The 15786-nt window shown below is 37.2% G+C and overlaps 1 protein-coding gene across 1 annotated transcript in view; it reads left to right on the top strand.

Moving 5' to 3' along the window:
* The window catches only part of PDE1A (phosphodiesterase 1A), a 576757-nt gene that overhangs the window by 142539 nt on the left and 418432 nt on the right, over nt 1-15786 (top strand). The window lies entirely within an intron of this gene.

Here is a 15786-nt window from a genome sequence, read left to right as displayed (position 1 = left end):
GGCAAACCCACCCTTAATCTGGATGGGCACCTTTTAATCAGCTGCCAGCGGATATAAAGCAGGCAGAAAAACATGAAAAGGAGAGACTGGCCTAGCCTCCCAGCCTACATCTTTCTCCCGTGCTGGATGCTTCCTGCCCTCACACATCAGACTCCACGTTCTTCACCTTTGGGACTTGGATTGGCTTTCTTTGCTCCTCAGCTTGCAGACAGCCTATCGTGGGGCCTTGTAAGTTAACACTTAATAAACTCCGTATATATATATGTTTGTGTGTGTGTGTGTGTGTATAAAAAAATATATAAATATATATAATATATAAATATACATATGTATATATTAATATATATAATATATAAATATACATATGTATATATATTAATATATATACATATGTATATATAAATATATAAATATATATATCCTATTCTGTCCCTTTAGAGAACCCCGATTGATATTACTAGAATTTTATATATTATATGAAAGTATATTTTTGCTGAATCGTTTAAAATAAATTGCAGAGATCATCACCCTTTACCTAAATATTCTAGCCTGCATTTCCTAAGAACAAAATTATACATAGTTACAATTCCATTATAACTAAGAAATTACTAACGATTTGCTAATGTCGTATATTCCTCACTAATATATGAATATCATCATCTGTCCCCTAAATGTCTTTAATAGACAAATTTTTCAAACCAGGATCTATTAAGATTCCTGCATTGCATTTTGTTGTTGCGTCCCTTTAGATTCTGTCCTAGTTTAGTGATAGCCCCTCGTTTGTTTTTCCCTGTGAAATTAGCTTTTTGAAGAGACTAGTATAGCTGTCTTGAGAAATGTCCCACATTCTGTATTTTTTTTAAAAAATGATTTCCTTATGGCATCGTTCAGCTTGTTTCTCTCTGTCCTCTATTTCTGTCAATCTGGAAGTTAGTCCCAAAGCCTCAGTGAGATTCAGATGAAACATTTTTGACAGGATCAGTGATGTCTTTATATTTTACACCCAACAGTTACATGAAAGCAGGTTTTCCTCCCACAGTTTGCTAAGCTTGATCAGTGGGTTAAGAGAGGGTCATTACAATGTAGTCATAAACTACATTGTAAACGGTATCAGGTATTTGCCAAGCAGTCTATAGAATAACGTGCGAGGCAGAGCCCATTTCTCACCAGCCTTACCCCAAATGGCTTTAGCATTCTTTGGTCTAATTAAATCATTATTTCATTGGGGATTTAAAAACAGAGATGAATTAGAATTCCTCTAAAAAGGAAAGTTAGATGTTGAATTCTTTCATTTTAGTTATCACTTTCTAGAGTAAAGATTGGGCACTGTTGTCTCCTCTAGTGGTGGCAAATAAGATTTATCTTTCACTTTTTTTTTTTTTTTTTTTTTGAGACAGAGTCTCGCTCTGTCGCCCAGACTGGAGTGCAGTGGCGCAATCTTGGCTCACTGCAAGCTCCGCCTCCCGGGTTCACACCATTCTCCTGCCTCACCTCCCGAGTAGCTGGGACTACAGGCGCCCACCACCATGTCCGGCTAATTTTTTGTATTTTTAGTAGAGACGGGGTTTCATGGTGTTAGCCAGGATGGTCTCGATCTCCTGACCTCGTGATCCGCCCGCCTCAGCTGGAATTACTCGCGTGAGCCACCGCGCCTGGCCTATCTTTCACTTTTAAAACACTGTAGGCCTTATAAATGTTTAGCAAGAGGTTTTACAATGAAGTAGAAAATTTCCTAGCAAGTCCAGGGCTGATAGGAATTGGATAGTAATTATTGTCATACTTTTCTAAACTGGTTTATAGTGATTGTGATTTAAGGTAACAAACTTGGAACCATGAGAAGAAAGAGCCAGTTTGTTTAAAGGAATAGTGGATGATTTTCTTCTCTTTCCTTCCTCCTGTACCTGTTTTCCTGCAGAGTTATATCAGAAGAGTGTTCTCCTAGATTGCCAGAAGAGGAGAGATTATTGTATGAATTTTCTCCTCATTCTTCTTTAGTGAAAGCTCTTCCTTCCCTTGTCTTCTACCTCACCAGTTCATGCAAAATGGGCTTCGTATAAGCACATAAAACACACTCCTAAGAAGACATTCTCCCGACTTCCATTCTTTCAATAACAAACAAATATTGAACATTTGCTCAATGTCAGGCACAGTGTCAGTTCCTGGATCTGTAGAGACATAAAACCACCCAAAAAAAGTCTCTGCCTCTCAGGAATTATAGTTCAGTTAGAAAACATCTTTCTAAGGGGAGTTAGCTGACACTTCAGTTCTAAGAGAAATAAGCTATGGGCTGTCATGAGGTCATCACAAAGATGACTTTGCCACATGGTTAGCTTTTCTTAGGAAGTGAACATAGAGTAAGGTCAATTTTTAAAAGGACCTTTTCTGGATAATGAGACATGGTTGAGTGACTGCTGTGTTGTAGATTTAGAATTCTGCTGGCATAATGGATCATGATACTGTTCTTGAAAAGTTGCTACTACACCGGAGACCTGAAAGTTATTTGAGCTTTTTTTGCTACTCTCGGAAATCAGATTTACTGGCATTTAAAACATTTTCTATGATTGACATTATTATTATTATTATTATTTTTAAATATAAACTTATTGTTTAATTTAGTAGTTAGCATCCTATTTTGCTCTCACATAACAGGAAAGTGCCATTGAATGTTATCTTTAATCCAGCAATAAGCAGTTCTTGTATTTTACCAATTTTTAATTTTAACAATGATGTAGAGAGAGACATCAGCTTCCTTATAATTCATGACATTTGCCTTCACAGATCCATACTCACTTTAGACAAAGAATTAGAAAATAAGAGGCTTAACAAACCTCCAAAGTCTCAAAGTTTGTGGTAATCATTTTATGCTATTTTCTTGAAATTCTCTTTGTCCAGTCCTATCATCTCTTCTATGATTTGATTGGTAGAATAATAATGAGGGTATTTACATTATTCTTTTTTCATTCTCTTCCTCTTGGTGATATTTCAATGACCCCTATTTTAAAAGAAAGCATATGAAAAACATGATCTTAAAGGTTTGAATTGCAAACTAAAAATTTCAGTTTCATCCATGAAAATAGCTCTTACCATTCTTCTCATAATCAGGAAGCATTCAAGGATAAATTGTTGGCACCCATTAAAATAAAAGCTACAGTCAGCTTTCTAATCTTCATATGAGTATTTAAACATTAGCATCTACTTAAAATGAATTAGCCACTTATTTTATAGCAGTTGCTGTTGCCAGCTGTTGCTCTAAGAACCTTACGAATGATTTTGTTATAATATCCATATCAACTCAATGAGCTAGGTACAATTATTAGTCTCATTTTACAGATGAGGAAATTAAAGCAAAGAGATGTCAAATGACTTACCCAGTGCTCCACAGGCAACAAGTGCCTTTATCTCTATCCCGTGCCATTTTCTCATACAGCTTTTCATGTCTAATATATGGATACACAAATCCTTAAGCTCTCCACTATCTGGCCCAACTCAGAAGCAAGATGAAGAAAGCATTAGGTATTAATGACTGAAGGACATATATTGCTCCAATTATTTTAGGTTTCCTTTTTACCCTATTTTAAACAATAAGAAAATGATCATATTGAACACTGACCGTTTCTAAAATAGACTTCATTACTGTGTCTGATGCCAGGCCTTTCTTTTATTGGTGTATGCTCTAAGAAACAACTTCATAGATTTGTCGCTGTATTTGACATGACAATGCTACTGAGGGCTTTGTCTACTGTATTACTTTGTCTCACATTGTAAAGACCTGAGTGAAGAACATATTTTAAAATTTAGTGATAAGAAAGGGATTTGCTCTCACTGATAATCTCCCTGCCTTTTTCAACAGTCATTTACAACTGTCTCTATTTCTCTTTCACTTTGGTTACCAGGAATAACATATTTAGTTTAGTCAAATATGTGTCTTAGAGTCAAATATGAAGCTCAGTATTAAAAATGTTTTAAAGTAGGTTCTTACAGTCTGCATTTTTCTATTTTATTTTTCTATTTTATACTCTCTACTTCCCTTCTCTTTATGTCTTGGCTTCCTATTTCAGGTTGTATTTTCCCTGCTCCAGATTTTTACTAACATTTTATCTCCCCTTTGAATGTTTTACGTAAACCACCTCAAATCTCTTGTAGAATAAGATAGAGACAATTTTGTGTCCCCAAACCCCAGGGAAGCAAGGAAGCAAAAGGCATGGTCTCTGATTTTATGAAGCTCAGACATGATTGGGAACACAGCACAGGATGCAGAAGCAAATTCACCTTGGGAATATCACAAGTGGTATAGATTGAAAAAATGCTGTAGGAGTTTTGCATGAGGTCTGGGACAGTTGGAAAACACTTAAGAAGAACTAGAAACTACACTGGCCATTGAAGAAAGGCTAGAACTTCAGTAAGAGTAGTATCGAAAGAAGGTTTTTAAGAAAGGAAAATGTATTGAACCAAGATGTTAATGGGAATCTAGCTTATTCAAATAAAAATGGCAGAAGATTGTTAATTGTTAGCTCCAACATCCATTCTCATCTCTCCCTCAATTGCTGAACTTCAGTTTTATTTCAGAGCAGCCATGTAACCAGATAAAAGACTATGTTTTCCATTTCTACTTTGAAACCAGGTTAATCAAAGTAATCTGCTTTTGCCAGTGAAATATAAGCACAAAGTGTTGTGTCATTCTGTGGGACTTTGAGAAAGTCTCGTTAAAGAGAGGAAGTTTGCTCTTCTTTTCTCCTTCTACCATCCTACTGCTTGACGCCCAAGGAGCTCAATGAGCGTCTTAGACCCTGAGGATAAAGAGGACACTCAGAATGATGGAGCAGAATGCTGGGAGCAGGTTGACCATAGCTGAATATAGTGCCTCCCTTATAAAACCATTTAGCTAGAGTAGAGAATTTATACAGAGCATAATGAAAAATTGTAGGTCAGAGCTAATGTTCAGCAAACAATTATGAGCTTTATTTTATTACAACAGGAAATACATATATATATATATATATATATTTGAGACAGGTTATCACTCTGTCACTCAGGCTGAAGTGCAGTGGCACAATCTCGGCTCACTGCAGCCTTGACCTCTTGGGCCAAGTGATCCTCCCACGTCAGCCCCGCCAAGTAGCTGGGACTACAGGCATGTGCCACTACACACAGTTAACTTCAAAATTTTTTTTAGAGATATGGTTTTGTCATGTTGCCCAGGCTGGTTTTGAACTCCTGAGCTCAAGTGATCTACCCGTCTTGAACTCCCAAAGGGCTGAAATTAGATTTTATTTCAAGCAAGAATGTAAAAAATATCAAGATGAATATTATTATTATTATTTTTTTCAATTTGCAACTTGGCAAGATGAGATTGGTGATTAATCTCTTAAAACATTACAGGTGTGAGCCACCGTGCCTGGCCTATAGGAAATAAATATATATGATCACATATGTGATTTTTCAAGAAAAAGTTTCTAAGCCATTTTATTCAGCTAATTAAACTTGTATGAATTTTTTGAGTGCAATTACATGTTGTATACCAACTAAGCATATTTGTATTGATGATAAATACAGAAATATGTACCTACTCTGTGTTATTTATTTATTTATTTTTTGAGACGGCGTCTCACTGTGTCACCCAGGCTGGAGGGCAGTGGTGTGATCTCGGCTCACTGCAAGCTCCCCTCCCGGGTTCATGCCATTCTCCTGCCTCAGCCTTCCGAGTAGCTGGGACTACAGGCGCCCGCCACTGCGCCTGGCTAACTTTCTGTATTTTTAGTAGAGATGGGGTTTCACCGCTGTCTCGATCTCCTGTCCTAGTGATCTGCCCGCCTTGGCCTCCCAAAGTGCTGGGATTACAGGCGTGAGCCACCGCGCCCAGTCTTTGTGTTTACTATTACTATAAAAACATTTTATAAAAGGATAGAAGATAAATTTAAAATAATTTTGGTGTTCAAAGTTTTAATAACAGCTAAGGAAATCAGAAATATGAGTTCAATGAAAAATGTTTTTTTCTTAAGTTTATAAATGTAAACTTTAGTTTAATAACTCGTTATTAAAGAACAGATTAAAAACCAAAAATTTTAACAATACTGTTACATTTTAAATTTAAATTTAACTAAAGGAAACTCTACAAAAAAGGCTATACAAAAAGTTATTTAGAAAACTTAAACATTGCCGGGCGCGGGCGCAGTGACTTGCACCTGTAATCCTAGCACTTTGGGAGGCCGAGGCAGGTGAATCATGAGGTCAAGAGGTCAAGAGTTCAAGACCAGCCTGGCCAACATAGTGAAACACTGTCTCTACTAAAAATACAAAAATTAGCCGGGCGTGGTGGCGGGCGCCTCTAATCCCAGCTACTCAGGAGGCTGAGGCAGGAGAATTGCTTGAACCCGGGAGGCAGAGGTTGCAGTGAGTCAAAATCATGCCACTGCACACCAGTCCTGGCAACAGTGCAAGACTCCATCTCAAAAAAAAAAAAGAAAAAAGAAAAAAAGAAAAAAAAAGTAAACATTAAAATGATTTATACGTTATATAAAAGATATTAAAAACTCATTATCAGGGAAATTAGATTTTATTTCAACCAAGAATATAAAAAAATCAAAATGAATATTATTTTTTCAATTTGCAATATTGCAAGCTGAAATTTATGATTAGTTGTTAAAACATTATTTTTGTTGAGCAATTAGAAATCACTGTATTTGCTTTAGAAAACCTAGTAAAGAGATTTTGTTTGTTGTAAATGGAAGGAAGACGAGAAGACATATTTTTGAAGTTTCCCAATTTGGTGGTATTTCATGTCTAAATGAGTAAAGATTTTCCTTTTCATAACTATTTGACTCTTTGTTTTAAAGCCAGGTATATCATTCCAGGTTTCTTCTGCAGGTGCCAGAAAAGTAAATGAATAGTACTTCTGCTATAAAATCTTCTTCCCTTTCTGAAGAATTACCTTAGAGCAGTAGGTCACCAGCTGGGAGAGATATCAAACACAAATATGCCAGGAAAACGAAGTTTCACAGTCATCCAATTGGAAGCAAACGTTTTGTGGGAATCAGGTAGTTTTCTTGCTGATTTCCTAATTCTTGGTAATGTTCTCTCATGGTAATGTTATAGCAAATTGTTACGAGATGGCATTACAGAGTGATTTAGAATATCATACAGCTAAATTTGGTTATGGCAGCAAAAATGTTCTGCATTTAAAAAATGTTATAACTAATTACTAATAAATAAAGTAACTAATCAAGCTAGACTTATCCAGGGCTTTTAACACTTCAAATTGTTCATTCTAAATTATAATTATATAAGAAACAAAATATGTAAGGTTATCATGAATTATCTCTATGTTGCAAAGCAAGAGTAAACAGTAAACTAAATCTAGGTATTCACAGGAATAAGTTTAAAAATTTGGATTGCTTGAAGATGTTATGCAAAGCTAAGTTTATAAAAAATATTTCCATAGCAGTGTTGCTATTTACAGAAGATGAAAAATCAACTCACAACTGGTAGATGGTCTTAGAATGTTAAGAAAGGAAGGAAAGAAAACTTGGCAAATTCACTCTCACTAGGATCAGCTTCCTAGCTTTATAGAAGTTTGGACTCAAATATAAACTTGAGAACTTTAAGGACGTATTATCAGATAAATAACTAACACTGAAGCCTTTTCCAGTTACATGCATGAAACTACATCTTGAGAAACTAGAAAGAAATATTTAAAATCTAATATAATTTACTTATTTCCTGTTTCATAGGATGTATAATAAATATATATTATATAATTTATATTATGCATAGCATATGGTATTAAATCATATATATTTGGAATGTAAAATTGCTGAAATCTTTCCCTCCATTATTTCCTGTCTTCTTTCTTTTCTTTTTAATGTTCATTGTTAATTATTTCGAAATATTGATGACTAAGAAGTTTACCAGTTTTATATGAAATATAACTTAAAAATTACAGTATTAGAAGGTGTAGGGTCAAAAGTATGGCAGGTAGATAGATATGGGAAATGAATTGATTTAAAACAGGAGAAGTTTAGCCTAAGGTTCTGACCAAGGTTTGTTATGGTTCAATGGAGGGAGAACATAGTTGTGACACATGAAGGAAGGCTTGTAGATGAGAGAGAATTAATGGCCTATGTGAAAACAAGTAAGTGAATTAGAATAAGAATGTCAAGCAGAAGGTCTGGAAGCTACCTTGAACCACCCTTGAAATCTCTTGCATTTCATTCAAATCACTGAGCTCTGAGACTCCCTGAACTCACAATTCCATAAATTTTGTATTCTGTGTCTACATGTCTGATCCAAGTCACTCCCTGTCTCTTTCTTCTTTTTCTTAGTAATATTAGCAAATGAAAGCTTATCAGGGTAGTGATGGTGATGGGTCAGTCTGTGATAATTTCTACGAAGAGTGGATTAAGGAGCTGAGTTGTTTAACCTGGGAAAAAAACTAAGGGCAAAGTAAGTTTGCTGTGTTCAATTCCTGGAAGAACTTTTACTGGAAATTCAAGTGGATTGTTTCATGTTTCAGAAAGAATAACTAGAAAAAATCTTGACTCTAATAAATAGCATGTGAGTCATTAGATTCTTTTTTTTTCTTCCAAAAAAGAACAGTCTCCCTTATAAATTGTGTTTCTCATCACCAGTGGTTCAACCAGATGTATCGAAGGCAGATTGTAATGGATGGCTGCAAAGTAGGACTCTTTGATTCTGTGCTTTTCGTGTACACATCACCAGTCAAGAACGGGCAGACTGCCTCCTCAAGTGGGTCCCTGATCCCTGACCCCCGAGCAGCCTAACTGGGAGGCACCCCCCAGTAGGGGCAGACTGACACCTCACATGGCCGGGTACTCCTCTGAGACAAAACTTCCAGAGGAACAATCAGACAGCAGCATTTGCGGTTCACAAAAATCCGCTGTTCTGCAGCCACCGCTGCTGGTACCCAGGCAAACAGGGTCTGGAGTGGACCTCTAGCAAACTCCAACAGACCTGCAGCTGAGGGTCCTGTCTGTTAGAAGGAAAACTAACAAACAGAAAGGACATCCACACCAAAAACCCATCTGTACGTCACCATCATCAAAGACCAAAAGTAGATAAAACCACAAAGATGGGGAAAGAACAGAGCAGAAAAACTGGAAACTCTAAAAAGCAGAGCGCCTCTCCTCCTCCAAAGGAATGCAGTTCCTCACCAGCAACGGAACAAAGCTGGATGGAGAATGACTTTGACGAGTTGAGAGAAGAAGGCTTCAGACGAACAAACTACTCCGAGCTACAGGAGGAAATTTGAACCAAAGGCAAAGAAGTTGAAAACTTTGAAAAAAATTTAGACGAATGTATAACTAGAATAACCAATACAGAGAAGTGCTTAAAGGAGCTGATGGAGCTGAAAGCCAAGGCTCGAGAACTACGTGAAGAATGCAGAAGCCTCAGGAGCCGATGCGATCAACTGGAAGAAAGGGTATCAGTGATGGAATATGAAATGAGTGAAATGAAGCGAGAAGGGAAGTTTAGAGAAAAAAGAATAAAAAGAAACGAACAAAGCCTCCAAGAAATGTGGGACTATGTGAAAAGACCAAATCTACGTCTGATTGGTGTACCTGAAAGTGACGGGGAGAATGGAACCAAGTTGGAAAACACTCTGCAGTATATTATCCAGGAGAACTTCCCCAATCTAGCAAGGCAGGCCAACATTCAGATTCAGGAAATACAGAGAACGCCACAAAGATACTCCTCAAGAAGAGCAACTCCAAGACATAATTGTCAGAGTCACCAAAGTTGAAATGAAGGAAAAAATGTTAAGGGCAGCCAGAGAGAAAGGTCGGGTTACCCACAAAGGGAAGCCCATCAGACTAACAGCAGATCTCTCGGCAGAAACTCTACAAGCCAGAAGAGAGTGGGGGCCAATATTCAACATTCTTAAAGAAAAGAATTTTCAACCCAGAAGTTCATATCCAGCCAAACTAAGCTTCATAAGTGAAGGAGAAATAAAATACTTTACAGACAAGCAAATGCTGAGAGATTTTGTCACCACCAGACCTGCCCTAAAAGAGCTCCTGAAGGAAGCACTAAACATGGAAAGGAACAACCAGTACCAGCCACTGCAAAATCATGCCAAATTGTAAAGACCATCGAGGCTAGGAAGAAACTGCATCAACTAACGAGCAAAATAACCAGCTAACATCAAAATGACAGGATCAAATTCACATATAACAATATTAACTTTAAATGTAAATGGACTAAATGCTCCAATGAAAAGACACAGACTGGCAAATTGGATAAAGAGTCAAGACCCATCAGTGTGCTGTATTCAGGAAACCCATCTCACGTGCAGAGACACACACAGGCTCAAAATAAAAGGAGGGAGGAAGATCTACCAAGCAAATGGAAAACAAAAAAAGGCAGGGGTTGCAATCCTAGTCTCTGATAAAACACTTTAAACCAACAAAGATCAAAAGAGACAAAGAAGGGCATTACCTAATGGTAAAGGGATCAATTCAACAAGAAGAGCTAACTATCCTAAATATATATGCACCCAATACAGGAGCATCCACTTTCATAAAGCAAGTCCTGAGTGACCTACAAAGAGACTTAGACTCCCACACAATAATAATGGGAGACTTTAACACCCCACTGTCAACATTAGACAGATCAACGAGACAGAAAGTTAACAAGGATACCCAGGAATTGAACTCAGCTCTGCACCAAGCAGACCTAATAGACATCTACAGAACTCTCCACCCCAAATCAACAGAATATACATTTTTTTCAGCACTGCACCACACCTATTCCAAAATTGACCACATAGTTGGAAGGAAAGCTCTCCTCAGCAAATGGAAAAGAACAGAAATGATAACAAACTATCTCTCAGACCACAGTGCAATCAAACTAGAACTCAGGATTAAGAAACTCACTCAAAACCACTTAACTACATGGAAACTGAACAACCTGCTCCTGAATGACTACTGGGTACATAATGAAATGAAGGCAGAAATAAAGATGTTCCTTGAAACCAACGAGAACAAAGGTACAACATACCAGACTCTCTGGGACACATTTAAAGCAGTGTGTAGAGGGAAATTTATAGCACTAAATGCCCACAAGAGAAAGCAGGAAAGATCCAAAATTGACACCCTAATATCACAATTAAAAGAACTAGAGAAGCAAGAGCAAACACATTCAAAAGTTAGCAGAAGGCAAGAGATAACTAAAATCAGAGCAGAACTGAAGGAAATAGAGACACAAAAAACCCTTCAAAAAATTAATGAATCCAGGAGGTGGTTTTTCGAAAGGATCAACAAAATTGATGGAGCACTAGCAAGACTAATAAAGAAGAAAAGAGCAAAGAATCAAATAGACACAATAAAAAATGATAAAGGGGATATCACCACTGATCCCACAGAAATACAAACTACCATCAGAGAATACTACAAACACCTCTACGCAAATAAACTAGAAAATCTAGAAGAAATGGATAAATTCCTTGACATATACACACTCCCAAGACTAAACCAGGAAGAAGTTGAATCTCTGAATAGACCAATAACAGGCTCTGAAATTGTGGCAATAATCAATAGCTTACCAACCAAAAAGAGTCCAGGACCAGATGGATTCACAGCCGAATTCTACCAGAGGTACAAGGAGGAAGTGGTACCATTCCTTCTGAAACTATTCCAATCAATAGAAAAAGAGGGAATCCTCGCTAACTCATTTTATAAGGCCAGCATCATCCTGATACCAAAGCCGGGCAGAGACACAACCAAAAAAGAGAATTTTAGACCAATATCCTTGATGAACATTGATGCAAAAATCCTCAATAAAATACTGGCAAACCGAATCCAGCAACACATCAAAAAGCTTATCCACCATGATCAAGTGGGCTTCATCCCTGGGATGCAAGGCAGGTTCAATATACGCAAATCAATAAATGTAATCCAGCATATAAACAGAACCAAAGACAAAAACCACATGATTATCTCAATAGATGCAGAAAAGGCCTTTGACAAAATTCAACAACCCTTCATGCTAAAAACTCTCAATAAATTAGGTATTGATGAGACGTATCTCAACATAATAAGAGCTATCTGACAAACCCACAGCCAATATCACACTGAATGGGCAAAAACTGGAAGCATTCCCTTTGAAAACTGGCACAAGACAGGGATGCCCTCTCTTACCACTCCTATTCAACACAGTGTTGGAAGTTCTGGCCAGGGCAATCAGGCAGGAGAAGGAAATAAAGGGTATTCAATTAGGAAAAGAGGAAGTCAAATTGTCCCTGTTTGCAGACGACATGATTGTATATCTAGAAAACACCATTGTCTCAGCCCAAAATCTCCTTAAGCTGATAAGCAACTTCAGCAAAGTCTCAGGATACAAAATCAATGTACAAAAATCACAAGCATTCTTATACACGAATAACAGACAAACAGAGAGCCAAATCATGAGTGAACTCCCATTCACAATTGCTTCAAAGAGAATAAAATACCTAGGAAACCAACTTACAAGGGATGTGAAGGACCTCTTCAAGGAGAACTACAAACCACTGCTCAAGGAAATAAAAGAGGATACAAACAAATGGAAGAACATTCCATGCTCATGGGTAGGAAGAATCAATATCGTGAAAATGGCCATACTGCCCAAGGTAATTTATAGATTCAATAGCATTCCCATCAAGCTACCAATGCCTTTCTTCACAGAATTGGAAAAAACTACTTTAAAGTTCATATGGAACCAAAAAAGAGCCCGCATTGCCAAGTCAATCCTAAGCCAAAAGAACAAAGCTGGAGGCATCATGCTGCCTGACTTCAAACTATACTACCAGACTACAGTAACCAAAACAGCATGGTACTGGTACCAAAACAGAGATATAGATCAATGGAACAGAACAGAGCCCTCAGAAATAACACCTCATATCTACAACTATCTGATCTTTGACAAACCTGAGAAAAACAAGCAATGGGGAAAGGATTCCCTATTTAATAAATGGTGCTGGGAAGACTGGCTACCCATATGTGGAAAGCTGAAACTGGATCCCTTCCTTACACCTTATACAAAAATTAATTCAAGATGGATAAAGACTTAAACATTAGACCTAAAACCATAAAAACCCTAGAAGAAAACCTAGGCATTACCATTCAGGACATAGGCTTGGGCAAGGACTTCATGTCTAAAACACCAAAAGCAATGGCAACAAAAGCCAAAATTGACAAATGGGATCTAATTAAACTAAAGAGCTTCTGCACAGCAAAAGAAACTACCATCAGAGTGAACAGGCAACCTACAAAATGGGAGAAAATTTTCGCAACCAACTCATCTGACCAAGGGCTAATATCCAGAATCTACAATGAACTCAAACAAATTTACAAGAAAAAACAACCCCATCAAAAAGTGGGTGAAGGACATGAACAGACACTTCTCAGAAGACATTTATGCAGCCAAAAAACACATGAAAAAATGCTCACCATCACTGGCCATCAGAGAAATGCAAATCAAAACCACAATGAGATACCATCTCACACTAGTTAGAATGGCAATCATTAAAAAGTCAGGAAACAACAGATGCTGGAGAGGATGTGGAGAAATAGGAACACTTTTACACTGTTGGTGGGACTGTAAACTAGTTCAACCATCGTGAAAGTCAGTGTGGTGATTCCTCAGGGATCTAGAACTAGAAATACCATTTGACCCAGCCATCCCATTACTGGGTATATACCCAAAGGACTATAAATCATGCTGCTATAAAGACACATGCACACGTATGTTTATTGCGGCACTATTCACAATAGCAAAGACTTGGAACCAACCCAAATGTCCAACAATGATAGACTGGATTAAGAAAATGTGGCACATATACACCATGGAATACTATGCAGCCATAAAAAATGATGAGTTCATGTCCTTTGTAGGGACATGGATGAAACTGGAAATCATCATTCTCAGTAAACTATCGCAAGGACAAAAAACCAAACACCGCATATTCTCACTCATAGGTGGGAATTGAACAATGAGAACACACGGACACAGGAAGGGGAACATCACACTCTGGTGACTGTTGTGGGGTGGGGGGAGGGGAGAGGGATAGCATTAGGAAATACACATAATGCTAAATGACGAGTTAATGGGTGCAGTACACCAGCATGGCACATGTATAGATATGTAACTAACCTGCACATTGTGCACATGTACCCTAAAACTTAAAGTATAAAAAAAAAAAAAAGAATCCCTATCTCTTCCTCATCCATCCCTCTGCCACCAAGAAAATGTGTTTAATGCTTCTCTTCCCCCACAAACTACCTTCCAGTCACTGGCTGCTCCCTACCCATACTGAGGGTAACCCTTATCCTGTCTCTTACAAATATGGGTTAGCTTTGCCTGTTTTTTAAAAATTTAAATGGATTCATTCAAAGCATTCTTTTGTAACTGGCTTTTGCTCGATGATACTTGTGCGAGTCATCCTGTTTTGTTTAGTTGTAAATGATTAATTCTGATGGCTGTACATATAGTGCTTCATTGTGTGAATATGATACACTTTATTGCACCGTTGATGAGCATTTGGGGTAGTTTTCAGTTTGATGCTATTTGAATAATGGTATAACAAGCATTCTATTAAGTATCTTGTTATTGAACATATGTACACATTTCTACTGGAAATATATGTAGGAGAGAATTGCTGGGCCATGGGGTATACCTATGTTCAGCTTTAGTAGGTACCGTAAAGTAGTTTTCAAAGTGATTTTATCCATTTACGTTTATACAAGCAATGTCAGAGAATTCTGGTTGCTCTATACCCTTGTCAACATTTACTGTTGTCACTATTTGTAATTTTAGCTGTGCTGATGGATGTTTTGTGGTCAGAGTGATGGTTTAAAATCATGATTATATCTTTTCTGTTTTAAAAACACTCTCCCATGGCTTTATTAACCTAGGATAAAATCCAAGCTTCTTACCATAGTTTACAGACCTCTGTATAATCTAGCCACTGCTTATTCCTGATTTCACTTTATATCAGTCTCCCTTGTTCTCTGGATTCCAGATCTGCAGCCTTTACTTCTTTTCAAAGTTAACTTTGGAGATTTTGCATTAGGTTTTTGTCTTACCTTTTCACTTATTCAGCCTTTAATTTTAATGTTATAATGGTTTTTTAAAAAACTGATCACTGGGCAAATATAAGGAGTCAAGATAAATTAAGGTGATATGATTTGAAAAGCTCTCTTTGGTTGAGGTATTCTCAAAGTTTGAGAACAGTAAGTCCTTTAAAATCACTATTTTGTTTTCCCTTTGGATTTAGGCTTAGGCTTTGATATTAGCGATGATCAAAGAATATGTTTCCTGGCAAGGAGGAGAAAAAACGTTCCTCAACAGCCTTTTGGAGTCACTGAGATTGAATAAATGTTGACATTGATTCAAGCCCACATTCTGATCTGCAGACATTTCTTTCCCAAACAGAGCTAGGAGGAAGAGTACATTTTCTTTTATGGAAGACTGCATGATTTGAGTACTGACAGTTTAAATACTGTACACTATGATTTATTGAGAAATGGAAAGCACATTTATTATTTTTGCAAATCCTTTGTCTTTGGCATGGCTTTTATAAATCACTCTTGTCATGCACTATGAAAGAACTGTTAGCTGTTTCACTTTTACAGTTTCCATTGTCAGATGTTTTAAAATTGCAGTTGACTATATATTTGTTGAAAGGAAAAAACTGACATGATCTTGTACCTTTCACTTCTTGTAGCAGTCCTGGTTTTACATAGATTAAAGGCCATTATGGCTGTAGCATATTATGCTAGAAGTAAAATAATGATT

The sequence above is a fragment of the Homo sapiens genome, chromosome 2, assembly GCF_000001405.40.
Source record: "Homo sapiens chromosome 2, GRCh38.p14 Primary Assembly".
NCBI lineage: Eukaryota > Metazoa > Chordata > Mammalia > Primates > Hominidae > Homo > Homo sapiens.
Note: the sequence above shows the minus strand (reverse complement) of the source record. Positions and strands in the feature narration are given on the sequence as shown.